This window comes from Homo sapiens, chromosome 9 (genome assembly GCF_000001405.40).
Source record: "Homo sapiens chromosome 9, GRCh38.p14 Primary Assembly".
NCBI lineage: Eukaryota > Metazoa > Chordata > Mammalia > Primates > Hominidae > Homo > Homo sapiens.
The window spans coordinates 70,030,601-70,048,890 of NC_000009.12; the positions used below are offsets into that span (position 1 = coordinate 70,030,601).

Consider the following 18,290-nt stretch of genomic DNA (forward strand, 5'->3'; position numbering starts at 1 on the left):
TATAAAAACACAAATAAACATACATTTATATAACTTTTCCTTTTATTTTTCTTCTCTTTGCTTTTTGCTCTACTTTCTGAGAGGTTGGTTCAACCTCAACTTCCAACTTTTCTATTGAATGTTTGTGTTCTACTATCAGGTTTTTCTTTTCTTTTCCTTCCTTCCTTTCCTTTCCTTTCTTCTTTTCTTTTCCTTCCTTCCTTTCTCTCTCTCTCTCTGTCTCTCCTTCCTCCCTTCCCTCCCTTCCTCCCTCTCTCCCTCCCTTCCTCCCTTCCTTTTCTTTATTTCCTTCTTTCTTTTTTTTTAGACAGGTCTTACTCTGTCACCCAGGCTAGAGTCCAGAGGCATGATCTCGGCTCACTGCAACCTCCGCCTCCCAGGCTCAAGCGATCCTCCTGCCTCAGCCTCCTGAGTAGCTGGGACTACAGGCACACACCACTATGCCCAGCTAATTTTTGTATTTTTGGTAGAGATGAGTTTCACTGTGTTGGCCAGGCTGGTCTCAAACTCCTGGCCTTAAGCAATCCGCCTGCCTTGGCCTCCCAAATGCTGGGATTACAGGTGTGAGCCACTGTGCCAGGCCTCAGGTTTTTAATTTCTAAGAGCTCTTTTATGTTCTCTGAATGTTCTTTTTTAAATAGCATTCTGACCTCATCCCTGGGATTCAGTGTCATAGCTTCTCTCTTTGAAGATATTAATAATAGTTTTATTTTGAAGTTTTCTCTTCCCTTCATAATTTCCCTCTGAGTCATTTTTATCTGTTTGTGGTTTGTTTGCTTGATCTTTATAAGTTAGAGGCATTCTTCATCCGTCTCATAATAGGTGTCTGCTCTTGTTTACTTGTGGGTGAGTAAAAAGCTGATTGGAAGATCTGAGTGAGTTTTATTGGAGGGTGATCTGGCTGGGTCATTTGTTGGGGTTAACCTTAATATTGGTATGTGTAAGTTTTTCCTTTTGGGCTGGTCAAATCCCCCAGAGATGACTCTTCCATTTTTCCAAATCACCGTGGAAGCTCAGTAGATGAACAGGACTTAGCGCAGGGGTCTTGGCCTTCAGCGTCTACATATTCATTTACTCCTTCTATTCCTTCTGGCTTCAGTGTGGGATTCCTGCTCTTAACTCAGTCTTTGCCCTCAAAGTACAGGGTACCTCTGTTTTACCCTCTCCAGACAGTAAACATCCTTTTGCTAGGATGGGGAAGAGAACTCATGCAAGAGTGTGGGGTGTTGAGGGAATCTAGAAAGCTGGTGATTCTCAAACAACTTTTCTAATCCTCCTTATTTTAGGCCACCCTCTTTATTCCATTTCCAGTGTTACCTGGTGTCACCATTTCCTGGAGTTTAGATTATGTTAGGAAAAAAAAATAAAACTGAGTCAGCCTAGAATGTTTCTTTGACATGTTGGGTTAGTTTATTTACCCATCTTCTTTCCGGCTTCCAGAAGTCAGTTGTTGTCTCTTCTCCCATTTCCCATATTCTTAAAGGTTCATGCATTTCTAAATAATATATATTCATTGTAGTTTTATATGATTTCTGGAAAAGCAAAATTTGGATTTGTGGTTCAATCCACCATCTTTACTCAGAACTTTAATCTAAAAGTCTACATCAAACAGAAGTATCCTTTATGACTGATGTTTTTAAAAAGAAGGAGAATTGACCTCTCACAAGTCTTTGCTAAAAAAAAAGTTTCTAAAGGATATAATTTTAAAATAAAGGAATTGAACCTTGAGGGAAGGGGTGGAATGCAAGAATCAGTAGACTTGGGAACCTGGCAGAGATTCCTGTGGGTGCCACCTTTGGGGGAGCTATTTTCTCTTGGAAGAATTCAGTGATATTGCTGGCCCAGTATGGAAGCTTAGAGAGATGCAAAATGTAACCCCCCCACTGCAAGGCATTACCATGGCTAGAGTCACAGAAGTCATTGCAGTCCTATTGCCTTGTTTTGGAGTGAAGCCTACAGGTGAGGGAACAAATTTCCCCATGGAGCATCCCCATCCCCCACCACCATGGGAGAAATTCCGAGTGCTGTGGCTTTTTAGATAGCCAGGAGTCTATTTGAATTTGCTATGGGTGGCTGAATAAATAAACCTTCCACATCCCAAAAGAGTTTTAAAAATGTGTACGTAAAATTGTAAAATGCATAGTGTAAAAGTAATCTTTTCAGTTTGGGGAGGAGTTGTAGGCACTTCCAGCTGTTCATAAAACAAGATGCTCCACTTTAAAGTTCCCTCTCTGTTTCTTTTTTCAGAAGACACTTTTATTAGATACAGACAGACTTGCCCCTCAGGCTATAACCGGTGCCCAAGATAATTTCCTTTAGCCTCTAGAAAAGTAATCTTGTAAGATGCCTCTTCTTAGACACCGTTCCATTTTGTTTGCTCCACCTCGAGTATTATCAAATGAAGAATTCTATTTTAATCCTAAAATTATTTTCCCATTACTATTTTAATGTCCTAGTTGTTGGTATTTATAATAGTATGCATTCAATAGGTTAAATGTTTCTTCTGGATGGGTGTGGTGGCTCATGCCTGTAATCCCAGCACATTGGGAGGCCGAGGTAGGCAGACCACTTGAGGTCAGGAGTTTGAGACCAGCCTTGCCAACCTGGTGAAACCCTGTCTGTACTAAAAATACAAAAATTAGCCAGGCAAGGTGGTGTGTGCCTGTAATTCCAGCTACTCGGGGGGCTGAGGCACGAGAATCGCTTGAACCAGGGAAGTGGAGGTTGCAGTGAGCTGGGATTGCACCACTGCACTCCAGCCTGGATCACAGAGCGAGACTGTCTCCAAGTAAATAAATGAATGAATGAATGAATGTTTCTTCTAATCTGATAGAACACCAATGCTACTAATTGTCCAATTTTCATTTCTAGTTTCTGTGCCTCCCACCCTGAGGCAGGACACTATAGAAAAGGCTATTTTGGTGGATAGACTGTGTATCAATTTCAACTACAAGCCTGGACCTGTGAAAAACTTGAGTTGTTAGAAAATTAATAATAAATATTTATATAGTACTTGGCATGCCAGACACTCTTTTGAGCACTCTAACAATATAAACTCAATTAGTACTCATGATCTCCATGTGAGGTAGTGACTATTATGATTTCCATCTTACAGATGAGGAAACTGAGGCACAGAGAGACCAAATAACGTGCCCTAGGTTCATAGATAGCAAGTGGCAGAGCTACAAGTTGAACCCAGGTGGTCTTGCTCCAGTGGCCATGGTCTCAATGACAAAATCATGCTCCCATTCCTGGTATAACACTTTCTCACTCTCTTTAAACAGCTTTTTTTTCCTTCTGTTAATAGTAACAGTATTTAATTTTGTTGATGATGAAAGGATTAAGGCAGTGTGTTCTTAATCCCAGCTCAGTAGAATCACCTTCAAGAGACTTAAAGAAATACCAATACTTTGCTTCTATCCCAGAAATTATTATCTGATGAGTGCCAGTCTTTGTATTAAAAAGAAACAATTCCTCAGATGGTAGACAGAGCTCATGGACAGCTGGAGCTGTGATTTACTGGATTAGGTCATTGAGGCATCCCGCAACGTCTGGTAGTAGAGTTTCTTCATTATCACCAATTGTTTGGGCCTTGCGTACTGGGAAAATTGGAAAGAATTAGTGTCATTTGACATCTTTTAAGTCTCCAGTGTTCTACCTGTTTGCATTTCAGGCCTCCAGATTTAGCAGTAAGCCTGTGACTCAGCTTCTCAATGCTATTGTGTCTTTGCACACCATGCACACACCCCACACACCTGTTCAGAGCTGACATTCACTATCTGTCATCCTCCCAGTTGGTGTCCATTCTGTCTCTCAGTGCCAAGGCCTTTATTATGAATATCACCCCATCCGTGTTCATGTCAATCAAATCACTGTGTGTGGATCCCCACTCTAACGGATGAATATGTCAGAGATTATGAATCAGAAGCTAAGCTGGGGTTTCATTGCTGTTCTTGGAAATGTTTTTGGCTACAGAATGCTTTATTTTTCCTGTTTCCATGCCAAAGCACTCAAACAAAACTTGTAAAGGAGAAAGCATACCACCTGGGTTTAGCCTAAATTGCTCATGGGCCTCCCTAGTCTCTGGAGCCACCATTAGCTAGAATATGTCAAATTCTGGTGTGCTCTTCCTCACTCTTAACCCTAATAGGCAACACAGAGTGTTAGCGCCTGGGATCTGGGGGGTGTCCTAGGGGTGAACATGTGTGCACACAAACCAGCCTGTACCTCTGACACAGCCACGATGCTGCCCATTCTCACTGCAATGACCTCTGAAATGCCAAAGTCATGGTTGTTGGTAGCAAAGCGGGGCATGGCACTGCTGCTCACCTGCTTTCATTTTAATACTGTCACAATCCTTATTAATGCAGGTTGTAGAGCCATTTGTGGCCCAGTGTTTTTTTAGAGATTTAGGGAAACAGATTTTTCTGGCTTTCCCAACAGCCTGGCGTTACTCTTGGACTCAGATAGGAGACCATGGAGCTGGGCTGGGACAGACTCAGGTGGCAGGATCCAAGCTGTTTCATAGTCTCTATTTCCCTCCAACATCCAAGGCCTGGCACTTCCTTCCAGAGGTTAAGTTCTCTCTCTGTGGCCTCATCTGCCTCTCAGGAAAGTGGATTTTTGAGAGTCTGCCTTTCTCCGGTTTGCCAAATGTGCTGCCCTGACCCCCGCAAGCCTGCTTTTACTCCCTGTTCAGTCTGTTGCTCCTCTTCAGATTGGCTCTGTGCTCCCAGAACACACCTGTGATTTCATTTTTATACATATTCCCCTGGGTAATTTAAATGTAGTTCTTTTTCTTCTACTCATAGGACTGCAGCTTAGGCTGGTTCTTGGGCCATGTGGACCAATGAGGATATGCTATTCCTTAGACTTTCCTTCAACAAACATCTTTTGAGCGACTACAATTAGCCATGTATAGAGATAGCACAGGAGCAGATACAAAGATAAAACACACTTGCTCTGCTTTCTACCCTTGAAACTCAGTCTCTATCGCAGAACACAGAGACATAGACAAAGTCATTGTCATACAGCGTTCTGTGGCATGAATGTTTATGTCTGCCCCAAATTCATATGCTGGAATCCTCACCCATGAAACGATGGCATTAGAAGTGGGGACCTTTGGGAGGTGATTAGGTCATGCGGGCAGAGCCATCATAAATAGGATTTAGCACCCTTATAAAAGAGGCCCAAGAGAGACCCTTGCCTCTTCTGCCATGTGAGGATACAGTGAGGAAATAGTTATCTGTGAAGAATCAGGCCCTTACCCAACACCCAGCCACCAGAATTGAGAAATACATTTTGGCTGTTGATAAGCCACCCAGTGTATGATACGTTGTTATAGCAGCCTGCACAGCCTAGGACACAGCATCATACATGCTGCAGCACAGGCACACCAACAACATAGGAGAGGGGCCATTTGAACTGGGTCTTGAGAAATGAATAGAAATATATTAGTTTGTAGTAACTAAGTACCACAAACCAGATGGCTTAAACAACAGAAATTTTTATTATCTCACTGTTTTGGAGGCCAGAAGACCAAGATCAGTGGCACTGGTGTCGGGGATTGTTCCTTTTGAGGGCTGTGGGTGAATCTGTTTGACGCCCCTCTCCAAGCCCCTGGTCTTCCTGGCCTCAGCACTGCCTGTGGGTAGAGGTAGGAGGCCGGGGACCTGGGAACCAGACATTTCAAAGTTCTGCTCACACCTTCCCTGTGTTGGGTGGATGGCATTGAGGTTATAAGGGCTTTGGTAGGAGCTTGAGCTGGCTCCCGCCCCAGCCCTGTACTTTTGAGCAAGTCACATCAAATCTCTGAGCCTAGTTTCTTCCTCCATGAATTTACCATGAAACCACCTGGCACATCACAGACACTTAACAAAACATGGTAGTATTATCACTGTGACTGGTCAGCCCAGAAAACCTCAATTTAAAAAAAATTAGAAGGTTGCATTCAAGCTGTAATGAAGGATGTCTGACTCCCAGCTAGGATCCGGAGTAAGCTGATGAAGAAAAGATTAATGATAGAAAGCATCTATTGAAGTATCTATTTCCTTTAAAATGCTCACTCTAGAAGATGTACCTACTTTATGGGTTCAGTCATTTGACTGTGGCAGTTTGAACAGTGGGCTATATATTTTGTAATAAAAGGAGATTTGTAAGGACTGATTGTCCCTTGGGTCTTGGTGCATCATGGGAGATGATTCAAATCCGTAGCAGGCACATGACTGCTCTTTGGGAGTAAGAGGCCAACAGTGCTGGACAGTAACCAAGGACCATCGCTGGCCTCGGGGCAGAGCCTTCAGTTACCTCCTGCTGGAATGCAACTACGGAGGTCACTGGCAGGACAAGCCCAGAGCCTGGAATGATTTTGCCATCTCGTTTTAGCCTGATTGTGTGTAATGAGTGGGGGCCTGTTGGGTGTATGCAGAGAGAGAGAGACGACATGGAAGCAACACAGACCACTGACTGCAGGAGTGCATATTTGGTCTTTTCTTCTGAATAAAATTAGAATAAAGTTGGTAAAATTCACATGAAGATATTTTTAAAAGTTTACTGGAAAACACAAAAATTTATATCAATGGACCAAGGTAAATATATCAATCTTTATAAATCAATGTACACATTTAATGTAATTCCAATAAACATGTCAAAGATTTTTTTAAAAACACTGAGTGTAGGCCAGGCGCGGTGGCTCACGCCTGTAATCCCAGCACTTTGGGAGGCCGAGGCGGGCGCATCACGATGTCAGGAGATCAAGACCACAGTGAAACCCCGTCTCTACTAAAACTACAAAAAAAAAAAAAAAAAAAAAAAATTAGCCGGGCGCGGTGGCGGGCGCCTGTAGTCCCAGCTCCGCGGGAGGCTCAGGCAGGAGAACGGCGGCGTCAACCTGGGAGGCGGAGCTTACAGTGAGCGGAGATTGTGCCACCGCACTCCAGTCTGGGCGACAGAGCGAGACTCCGTCTCAAAAACAAAAACAAAACAAAAAAAAAACCACTCAGTGTAGAGTGACAGAGATAGAGGTGAGCCCATACAAAGTACATCAGACAGTGAGAGAGAAAGGCAGAAACAAAGACAAAAATCCAGAGACAATGACTTGGCATAGATTAAAGGAGACCCAGGTATTAAGAAAAACAGATTATATATATGAGATAAATGAGAATGCAACAAGGTATAATAACTACAAAAGATGTTACTAATTTTATTATTAATTACCTTACATCTGTGCAAGACCTAGAATATACAAAGTCCTTTCCATGTTTCCAAATACTGGCCAACTAGGAGGTGAGATAATTAATGGCTTCTCATCCCACCACTGCCCTAGAGACATACAGCCTTGGTTAAAAGTCACCTAGACTTTTTCTGCCTCCATTTGCTCTACTGTAGAATGGCATTGCTCCCGTGTGCCTGGCTACCTCCTCTGGAGGAGTGAGGAGGGAGTCACCCTACTCTCTGTCTCCGTGGTTCTATCATAATGCTGCAAACTTCAGCTCAAGAATTGAATTTAACCTCCCAATAGATTTTGTTCTACCCCATGGGGATTTGAGTATATTGTTTTAATTTCTTGGAATGGAATGGAATTGAATGGAATGCAATAGAATGGAATGGAATCAACTCGAGTGGAATGGAATGGAATGGAATGGAATGGAATGGAATGGAATGGAATGGAATGCAAGAGAATGGAATGGAATCAACTCTAGTGGCATGGAATGGAATGGAATGGAATGGAATGGAATGGAATGGAATGGAATGGAATGGAATGGAATGCAATAGAATGGAATGGAATCAACTCGAGAGGAATGGAATGGAATGGAATGGAATGGAATGGAATGGAATGGAATGGAATGGAATGGAATGGAGTGGAAAGGAATGGAATGCATTTAAACTGAATGGATCCGAAAAGAATGGATTGGAATGGAATGGAATGAAGTGGCCTTGAATGCAATAGAATGGAATGGAATCAACATGAGTGGATTGGAATGGAAAGGAATGGAATGGAATGCAACGGAATGGAATGGAATGGAATGGAATGGAATGGCATCTGAAAATCAGGAGTTGTTATATACATATCTGAATATTGGGCTTCTTTTGAAACATGAGCAGTTGGGGTAGAGATGGTTTCTGTAATGCCCTTTAGTTGGACTTACTTACTCCAGTTAACCACAGTCTCCATCCCTCCCTATTTCTTCCGTGTTACCAGATCACTCCATTCATTTACGTGACTTCCTTGGCCTCTAGACTTTTTATATTTGCAGCCTTAATTCTATCTCATCCACATATTTTATTGAAATTATTGTCTCATGGGTCAGTCTCCTGTCTCAGCAGCAGAGGATGTGTCTTCTTGACCCCTGGATTTCCAGCCCCTAGCATAGTGTCTGGCTCACAGTAGGTGCTCAGGAAATGTTTGCTGAGCTTATCATGGCATGACACTGCGTGAGACTAACAAGGAGAGAAAGAAAACAGAAGGGAAAGTGGGCAGTAAAGACAGACTCTGAGATTGGCTAACCTCTGTAGTGCAGTCAAAGGTGCAATCATAAATGCTGGCTTTCTTGCTTTCTTCCCACAGATTTGCTCACACCCCCCAATGCCTCACCTGGCTATGTGGGAAGACACTGGATAGAGAGGAGCAGCAATGCTTCATCTTCCTCACCTTGACCCAGAAAATTAGAAGCAAGAACTTGGTGATCTCCAGGCTAGAAGTGGTACAACAAGGAGCAGAGCCCCTGGTGAAAGGTACCTGGAGGGCGCAAGGAACAGATTGGCAAAGAGCAGAGAGGATGGGCAGGCTCTGTGAGAGGTGAGCATCATACAGGAACCCACAGAGAGAGCAGGGCATAGTGTCTGTGTGTGGTGTAGGCAGCCCTCATTAGGAGAGACAGGCCTGTGTAAGGAGGAAGCATTTAGGGGCAGCATAGTGGATAGCCAGGAGAAGTGGGCATCTGGGATCAAATCCTTGCTGCATGCTGGCTGGACGTGTGACTTTGAGCAGGTTAATTGACCCCCTCTGGTCCTGTCTCCTAGTCTATAAAATGGGGACAATAATGATATTCACCTCATAGGGATATTGCATGGATTAAATGAGATAATGCATGTTAAGTGCCTGGCATGTGTTTACTTAATGCACTCTATATTAGTTTTCTATGGTTGCCAGAACAAATTACTACAAACCGGGTGGCTTAAAAGAACAGAAAGCTATTCACTCACAGTTTCAGAGGCCAGAAGCCCCAAATCAAGGTGTCTGCAGAATACAGTCTTCTGGGGCTCTAGGGGAGAATTTGTTATTCCTTGGCTTGGGGCTGCATCACTCCAATCTCTTTACATGCCATCTCCATCTTTACGTGACCATTTCCTACATGTGTCTGTGCCTTTTCTTCTGACTCTTATAAGGATACTTGCCATTGATTTAGGGCCCACCTGGTAATACAGGATGATCTCATCCCAAGATCCCTAACTTAATTAAATTAGCAAAGTCCCTTTTTCCAAATGAGGTCACATTTGCAGATTCTGGGATACGGATGTATCTTTTGAGCCACCATTCAACCTATTACAATACCTAAGTACTGAGTGCTTTCTGTAAGCCAGAACTTGATATGTGTTATTTGATCAGTTGCTTAAGCTAAATCTTGGAGAATAGCATTCTGGGTTCCTTGGGACCTGATCCTGTTTTCCCAAGTAATAAGAGGGTACCATGTGGGTGCTATGATTAGTGACCAAAGGAAGTTGGTTGACGTAGTTTCTAGATTCTCTGGCTTCCCTCCTCAGTCTTTTTCCCTGCATCCTGACTTAGGCCACATACAATATTTTTTCCTTTCTCTGCAAAACGTCTGTGGTAGGCATTTTTATGCTGTCCAGATCCCCCTTCAAGAAATGACTTTTAGTCCCAGCGGCTTGGAGTATTGTCATCGGCCTTCAACTTCTGATCCTCCCCAGTGCAGAGAGCTGCCTCACTGGAGATCACTTCTGTCCCAGCATAGGCCACAACCAGTGACAGATGGAGACAGCAGTACAAATGCCCTTTCATTTCAGCCTAACATGAGACAAGTTAGATAGGCCATTTTAACTCCATAGTTCCTTGGGGGATTGAAAGAAGCTTTGTGGGATTTGCATTGCAACTCCAATTCTCCCTCCACCCTTTCCTGCTTCCTCTCCCTCCCTTCCATGGCACTGATCCCAAGGTACTCCTGATTAAACACCCTGCACATTAAACTTCAAATCAGAGTCTGCTTCCCAGACATTCTAACTTGTGCCAATGTCTAAGGATCATATATTCTTGGGATCAAACAATTATATGCAAAATAGAAAATTTGGTCTGAGTTTGTACTTATGTATGATTCTGTTCCCATAGGTGGCAATACACAATGTCACGTTAAGGTTGTAAATCATATTTTAAATTTTGGAAGGATCTCTTTAGGGCTTTGAAGTTTTTCATTTTCCTATGACTTAGAACATACGACATGAATCTAAGGCAATTCTAAAACTTTGAAATACTCCTTAAGTATCTGGAAAAAGGAGCACCAGTTTGATTGTTGCTGAAAACTTCTTTAGTTGAAAATAATGTTTTGAGGTTTCGACTGAATGTATAACTGTCTTTGAATTTTTAGTTAAGTAGTGTGATGAAATTCATCAGATATTTAGCACCATCTGTGATCAAGAAGTCAAAAAAAAAAAGAATATAAGACCCAAGTGAGAGAAGTCCTGTACTGGTTGAGAAAATAGGCTTTTGGAATAAAGCAGATCTGGGTTTGAGTTTTGTCTCTACTGTCCACAGTCACTGAACTCTGTGCCTCAGTTTCCCCATCTATTAAATGGGGATAATGAACATATTTATCCTGTAGAGATTTTGTGAAGCTTAAATGAGATTATCTACATAAAACATTTATAATGGTAAACACAATAAATGTTATTATTAGCTACTACCTGAGGCAAAGCATATAAATAAAAAAAGATACATATACACCAAATAGCACACACTAATGAATAAATTTTTGACCATTTGAATCATTGTTTACAGAAAACACATGAAAATTTGTTCCTACCTTTAAAAAAGGATTCCAGATATATTTTCCTTATTAGGGAGAAGGTTACTAATTTTCTAATACTGAAAGTGACATCTGAGTGAAGACCTCATTAGGCGGTGAGTTGTGTGGCTCTTTGTGGAAGAGCATTTTGAGCAGAAAGAACAGCCAGTGCAAAATTCTGAAAGGATAGCTGGACTGTGTTTGAGGATCAGCCAAGAGGTCTGTGTGGCTAGAGAAGAGTAAGCAGGGTGATTGAAGTCAGAGAAATAAGAGGGTGGGGCTGGGTGCAGTGGCTCACGCCTGTAATCGCAGCACTTCGGGAGTCCGAGGCAGGTGGATCATGATGTCAAGAGATTGAAACCATCCTGGCCAACATGGTGAAACCCTGTCTCTACTAAAAATACAAAAATTAGCTGGGCGTGGTGTCACACGCCTGTAATCCCAGCTACTTGGGAGGCTGAGGCAGGAGAATTGCTTGAACCTGGGAGGTGGACTTTGCAGTGAACAGAGATCGCACTCCAGCCTGGTGACAGGGTGGGATTCTGTCTCAAAAAAAGAAAAAGAAGGAAAGCAAGAAAAGAAAGAAAAGGGTGGAGCAGGTCCTATAGGGCCTGGTTGGTCATCGTGAAGACTTTGGACTTTACTAAATGACTTGGGAACTTGTTGGGTCTTGAGCTAAGGAGTGACATGGCCCAATTTCTGTATTAAAAGGATAACCCTGACTAGTGTGTTCAGAATAGAGTAGGGTGGGCAGGGCAGAAAATGAAGGGAGACCGTGGTCAGGAGGCCACTGCGGTATCCCAGGTTGATGGCAAGGGCAGCTTGGACCAACCAAGGCATCACCACCATGGGCACAGAGCATGGTCAGCATCTGCTGTGTTTTGAATCCTGAGCTGATAGAAATTGGCAATGTCTGACAGGAACGGATGAGCTGAAGATGCCTCCAAGTTTTCTCTCCTGAACAACTGGAGGAAAATAGTTCTTTTACTGAGATGAGGAAGACACAGGGGACGGGCAGGTTTGGCAAGAAATATGCAGCCTTCATGTTGGGACCTGTTAAGTATGAAATAGCTCTGAAGCATCCGATTGGAAATGTTGAGGTGGCAATGAGATCGAAGAGTCTGGCGTTAGTGAGTAGTCTGGGTTAGAAATATAAATGTGGGAGTTATCAGGCTATCATTGGTATCTAAAACTATGAGACTTGAGGACAGCATTGAGGGGCTGGATAGAGAAAGAAACAGGAGTGACAGGGAAGAACTTGGAGGCACTCTCATGTTAAGGGGTTACAGAGGTAACGCAAAGAGGCCGAGAAGCGGCGGCCAATGAAAGACCAGGAAACCCAGCGGTCTGGAAGCCAGGTGAAGGCATGGGAGCAGGTTGAACTGATGGCTCAACTGGAGTTTGTTAGGCCAGTGGTCCTCAAAGTATTGTTCCAAACCCGCTGCGGCAGCAGCAGCCTCTGGAAACTTATTAGGGACGTGCAGCCTCTCAGGCCCACTCCAGAGCTACTGGATCGGAAACGGAGGGTGAGGCCCTTCAGCAGATTCTGATGCACCCTCAGGTTTTAAAACCACTGCCCTCCTCACAAAATTGCCTGCACAAAATTATAAATGGGAGAAAGGAGGAGGAGGAGGAGGAAGAGGAGGGGAGGAAGAAGAACTCTTTACAAGAAAAGAATATTGTTGGAGACCCACTTAGTGCCCAAAGCAAACAGCTTCCTCAGAAGTAACTCCCTCCCCAACAACCCCCTCCCAGTGTAAAGCCTCCCATTAATCAATCTATCATGGCTCTTTGGAGAGAAGGAATGCCCCCATTTCACCGGACGGAGGGAATGCTGAGCACCAGGCATGCCAGACATTCCACCGGCTAAAAAAAGTGGGGGTGGTATTCCAGGGTTAGCATTGCTGGACCGTAAACGCTGAAACTCCTTAGATATAAAGCTTATTCCACCCAACCGTTTCCAAATTTTCCTCCAGGCTGTCCTTGGAGAATTCCACCCTCTTTCATTCTGGGGAGAAGAAGTTAAAATTAGGGCCAGCCCTGCGGGACTGACATGCCAGATGCAGGGAAGCTGTCCCCAGAAATAAGCGAGTTCCCACCGCGGCTGGGCGGGGCGGGAGCCTCGGGTCCCAACCCAGCGGAGGGACTCCTGGAAGGCCTGCCCCTTCCAAGTGTCTGCAAGGGCTCTGGTCCCAAGCTTTAAAATCCTGAGCGAAGGCACTGCGGGCCGACCTCTCCTCTCCCAGCCAGTCGTGGCTGGCCTTTCAAAGTGTGCAGTTGTCTCCTCCCTGTCCAGCCCCATCGTCGCCCAGGACCAGCTGGGCCGCGGTCTGACCTGAGGCTGCTGCTCAGCGCCGGGGCGCTGGCGCTCTCCATTCGAGCACCTTCCAGCATACCGCTCGGCTCCGGGAGCCGCTCTGCAAAGTTGGGCAGCTCAGAGCGCAAGCTTTGCCTCTCGACTTCTCCCTCCTTGGGTCCCCGGCGCCCCCGCCTCCCACGATCCCTTTCACTAGGAGCAGCCAGTCCCAGCGGGCTGGCAACTTGCACCCCTTCCTAGTCATCCTCCCTGAAACGCGACCATGCTGTTAAGGGGCGTCCTCCTGGCGTTGCAAGGTAAGGCCTGGACCCCGGGACAACCCCGGGGGCGCTCTGACGACTCGCCCCCGCTCCTGCTGCCCCCGGGGGTCCGGCTCACCGTGCTGGGCTGGGCCATCCGAGGGCGCCTCCTGATCCTCCGCAGCCGCTAACTCCCTCCCCTGGCCAAGCCTGGGGTGGGGGTGGGGGTGGGCGTGGGGTCGCTCAGTGGAGGCGCCCGGGGATGCTGGGGGACAGGTACTGCATCCCTCTCCCGCCCCCTCCCGCTCGTCTTTCCCCCACTTTCACCAGGTAGTCCCCCTGGGGCTCCCCGAGTTGGTGCAAAGGCTCCTGGGTGGAGCTCGAACTGAAACTCGCTTTGTGCCCGCAGCCCTGCAGCTCGCCGGTGCCCTCGACCTGCCCGCTGGGTCCTGTGCCTTTGAAGAGAGCACTTGCGGCTTTGACTCCGTGTTGGCCTCTCTGCCGTGGATTTTAAATGAGGAAGGTAAGGAGGCTCGGTGGAGAGGGGCGCGAAGTGAACTTTCTTCCTTGATGGCTTGCTTTTTTTTCCCACATGGGTAATGTTATCTTGGAGTTAATTCTCCGCGGCAAGAAAAGTGTGAGTCATGGATCCTCCTTCAAGCCCTCAGCTGTGCTGCAAGGGATGGCCGAGGCAGGAACGGGGCGGGCGGGAGGCCGCCCTTTGTTTACCTGGCCTATGGGTAGAAGCTTAAAATTTGCGTCTCACCCCAGCACTCCTTAATGGAAGGGAGAAACGGAGCACAGCTAATGATTGTTCTCCGCTGTGGGCCTCTGCAGGCACACCAGCTGTGTGCCTCTGCAGGCCAGCAACCTTTCTGGTCCTCAGGAGACATGTCTGTGAGTTGGGAAAAGTTGCATGGGACTAGTTCTCCTTCAGCTTTGCAGAAATGGTTCCACAATTCTGTGATGGGACGTCAGTGCTAAGACATCACGTCTGCCTTGACCCTGACAGTGTTTTTTGCTGCATGATTTCATCCTCACACTCCTGTTTGTAATCCTGCCCTGGACAAAAGAAACCATGTACACTGCCAAATGCCTGGGGTCCCTGTCTCACTGGTGGTCATTGTCTTACTACTCTATACTGTTTGGGTCCCAAGGACAAAGTTTAAATGTGGGGTCTTCTGAAGTGTCATCTTGCCTTTATATAGTTTTTTTTGTTTTTTGTTTTAAAGTGTGGTTCTCAGTACCCAATGGCAGGCGGCACTGGGTGTCCCTTCTTTCCTTTCTCTCTCTTTTGTCACCACCAGTGAAGCCTGATGCCCACAGACTATTTGGATTGGAAAATAGCCTTCTTTAAAAAACATGGTACCCTAGATGAAACCAGCTCACCTCCTTCCCCACTCAATTGTCCTCAGGCCGCAGATCCTCCCACCTCGCTCCCTGGGGGAGGATGGAGCCCGGAACCCCTGGTTAGATGTATGAACTGTCACCACAGCTCACTCTGCCCCAGGCTTCTACTCAGGGTTCTGCATACATTAGCTTCTCTGACCCTCACAGGTAGGTGATGTTGGACCCGTTTTACAGAGGAAGGAATCTCAGCCATAGAATATTCAAATGGCTAGTCCATATCACAGTGTCACTGAGTGGCTAACTCTGAGTGTCTAGTTAGGAAGAAACAGGAAGGAACTGGTTCAGTAGTAATCTCCATCTTTATCCAACAATTGCCAAGTCTTGACTACTACAGTCTACTTAGGGGTGGCTGGGAAAAAGCAATTCTTGATTTATTATTCGAGGGATTCCTATCTTGCTGATGGCTTTAGGAAAGTCTCTGTAATCTTGCCACTCACCCTTTCCCTATACTGGCTGTATGGAAGCATTGCGGGAGATGGCCTTAGAAATGCCACGAGACTGGCTTTGGAGAGCACACTCCTCCAGCACGGGGCTTCTCAAACCTCAGCTGCATCAGAATCACCTGGTGGGCTTGTAAGACACAGATTGCTGGGCCCCACTTCCTGAGTGTCTGATTCAGGGGGCCTGAGAATTTCTAACAAGTTCCCAGGTGATGCTGATGATGCTGGTCTCGGGACTACACTTTGAGAACTGCCGACTTCCACAGTCTGTGTACACACACACACAACCTGTGCTGTTGTTGGCTCTGAGTAGGTCTGGCACTAGGGTGAAGGAGCTACTTGCAGGACCCGAGAGTGAACAGCTACTTAAGTCTTGTTCCCTAAGCACTTGGCTTGCCTCATCCTAGTGCTGGCCCTGAGAAAAGGAAATCAACATCATTCCTTAAGCCAGGAGCCTTAGTTAGTCTCTGAGTTCCTGCCTCCGGCCCTCTGTCAGGATGGGGGCCCCCTCACAGCCTGCCTCTGGTCAGTGGGCATGCCACAGCCTGCTGAACACAACTGCCTCCCAGACCCACAGGAAGTCTCTCTGCTGAGTTGGCACCTCTGCCCCAGGACAGCAGTTAAACCATCCCCCTTCAGGGAAAACAGGAAGATGCTTATAGAAAAAGGTGATTACAGTTTAATAGTATAACGAAGGCACTGTGGCTTTGCTTTCTGCATTCTTTCTAACAACCACTGCTTTCTGGCTCAGGACTGGGACTACTGGGTTGGCTGGCGGAAGTTAATTCATTCTCCTCTGAGCACTCCAGGGTGGAGCAGGCAGGTTAGGCTCCAGTTGTTCCAGCTTCAGTTTGTCAAAGGCCAGAACTTGGACGTAACAGTGTACTGCAGGCTCCAGGGCAGTGAGGTAGGTGTGTGGCAGTTGCTGTGGTTGCCTAAGAAGACATCGCTAAGAATTTCCCTTATAAGCCCATTTCTAGGTTGGTAAATTAAAGATAATAAAATTCTTCCAGGCTGAAATTTGGCAAGCTGTTCACAAGCTTCTCTGCAAATGCACTTCTTCCTGCAGAAACCCTTTGAAACTGGTTCCATGGTTCCATTCACCTTCATGTACTGGATCCACCATGGAAAGTAGTGGGTTTCAGAGACTTTTGCCCACATGCACTTCTTTTTTTTTTTTTCTTTAAGTTCTGGGATACATGTGCAGAATGTGCAGGTTTGTTACACAGGTATAAATGTGAATGGTGGTTTGCTGCACCTATCATCCCGTCATCTAGGTTTTAAGCCCCGCATGCTTTAGGTATTTGTCCTAATACTCTCCCTCCCCTTGCGCCCCACCCCCAACAGGCCCCGGTGTGTGAAGTTCCCCTCCTTGTGTCCGTGTGTTCTCATTGTTCAACTCCCACTTATGAGTGAGAACATGAGGTGTTTGGTTTTCTGTTCCTGTGTTAGTTTGCTGAGAATGATGGCTTCCAGCTTCATCCATGTCCCTGCAAAGGACATAAACTCACTCTTTGGTATTGCTGCATAGTATTCCATGCTGTATATGTGCTACATTTTCTTTATCCAGTCTATCACTGATGGGCATTTGGGTTGGTTCCATGTCTTTGCTATTGTAAATAGTGCTGCAATAAACATATGTGCCAGATGCACTTCTTATATGTCCATGGTCCGTAGGTTAATTTATTGTGGAGAGAACAATGCAAAAGGCCAGAGAAGGAAGGTAAGTTGGGACACAAATCTGCGAACTGGGGTTTCATCACAGGAGAATCAAATCTGGAGGTAGTTGGAAAAGTCTCCTTGTCTCTAAATATCCCCTTTGCTGCCTGAAATAGTTTCTGAGGTTCATGCCTTTGATTTACAGTATTAAGTCCCTAGATGTCCCTGATTACAGTTCGAGTGTCTCTATTTCATGGCCACTTTAAAATATGCTTTATCTCCACTGGACACAGAATAGGTAAGTTTTGACCAGGCATTGTGTTGGCTTGGGTTATTTATCCCAATGGCAGTTTCCCCCAGGGAATGCCAGGTGCACCATACAGGGCATCGGGCACTGAAACCCAGTTTTGTCTACTTTCTCATTTTGCCCATGGTTGTCCTGCTTTCTTGATCTCCCTCTATTCTTTTTGTAGAATATTTTAATTTTCCCTAACTTGTCAAGGGAAGTGATACTATGTCAGACTCAAATTTGAACTCACTTCTAAATCTTAAGTTTGAATTGAATCCGGCAAAGAAGGGATCTGTTTTTGTTTTTTGTTTTGTCTCTTTCAGAAGGAGTCTCACTCTGTTGCCCAGGCTGGAGTCCAATGGCGTGACCTCGGGTCACTGCAAACTTCGCCTCTCGGGTTCAAGTGATTCTCCTGCCTCAGCCTCTGGAGTAACTGGGGCATGCACCTGTAGTACCATCTACTCAGGAGGCATGTGCTACCACCCCAGGCTAATTTTTGTATTTTTAGTAGAGATGGGATTTCACCATGTTGGCCAGGCTGGTCTTGAACTCCTGACCTTGAGTGATCCACCCGCTTCGACCTCCCAAAGTACTGGGATTACAGGCATGAGCCACCGCGCCCAGCCAGGGTTCTGTTTTATCCTGTGAAAATCTTTCTCCATTCATTTATCCTATAAAAAAAATCATCTTTATTCACAGCTCAGAGGATCTGGAAACCCCTTTGAGCAGCAGTCCTCAGCTGAAATCGGGGCTGCTTATTCCATTTTCCTGATGCCAGCTGTGGGGGCAGAGGTCCTTTGCCCTGAGGATTCTTGGAGACCATGCGGTTGGCCTTGCATCCAAACAGGCACAATTCAAAAGAATCATTGAGTGGATATTGGCTTCATTCTCATTTTTGGACATTGTGGCTTAGCACCT

The 18,290-nt window shown here is 45.6% G+C and overlaps 1 protein-coding gene and 1 long non-coding RNA gene across 4 annotated transcripts in view, besides 2 other annotated features; one reads left to right on the forward strand and one right to left on the reverse strand.

Annotated features, from left to right (window-relative positions):
- Positions 1–1,387: 1,387 nt before the first annotated feature.
- Positions 1,388–13,441, reverse strand: LOC124902179 (uncharacterized). The gene is made up of 2 exons (XR_007061571.1): positions 13,354–13,441; positions 1,388–3,599 (listed from the first exon to the last, which is right to left on the reverse strand). It is a non-coding gene; the product is annotated as an uncharacterized LOC124902179 (long non-coding RNA).
- Positions 7,710–8,227: an enhancer, noted in NCBI's record as "OCT4-NANOG-H3K27ac-H3K4me1 hESC enhancer chr9:72653226-72653743 (GRCh37/hg19 assembly coordinates)". NCBI's record gives its function as "activates a minimal SCP1, AML or CMV promoter by ChIP-STARR-seq in naive and primed H9 embryonic stem cells {active_cell/tissue: H9 hESC(naive and primed)}" and the evidence as "EXISTENCE:reporter gene assay evidence [ECO:0000049][PMID:30033119]".
- MAMDC2 (MAM domain containing 2) overlaps positions 12,981–18,290 on the forward strand; it is a 183,392-nt gene continuing 178,082 nt past the window's right edge. For 2 of the 3 annotated variants that reach the window (NM_153267.5, NM_001347990.2), the window contains exons 1-2: positions 13,248–13,631; positions 13,984–14,097. In NM_153267.5, coding sequence (NP_694999.3) covers positions 13,598–13,631; positions 13,984–14,097 — 148 coding nt within the window. In that variant the 5' untranslated portion in view covers positions 13,248–13,597. Of the gene's footprint in view, positions 13,632–13,983; positions 14,098–18,290 lie in introns of all 3 variants that reach the window. The other variant, NR_125850.1, reaches the window with a different exon arrangement.
- Positions 13,233–13,527: a silencer, noted in NCBI's record as "tiled region #7941; K562 Repressive non-DNase unmatched - State 20:ReprD". NCBI's record gives its function as "represses a minimal TATA promoter and a strong SV40 promoter by Sharpr-MPRA in K562 cells {active_cell/tissue: K562}" and the evidence as "EXISTENCE:reporter gene assay evidence [ECO:0000049][PMID:27701403]".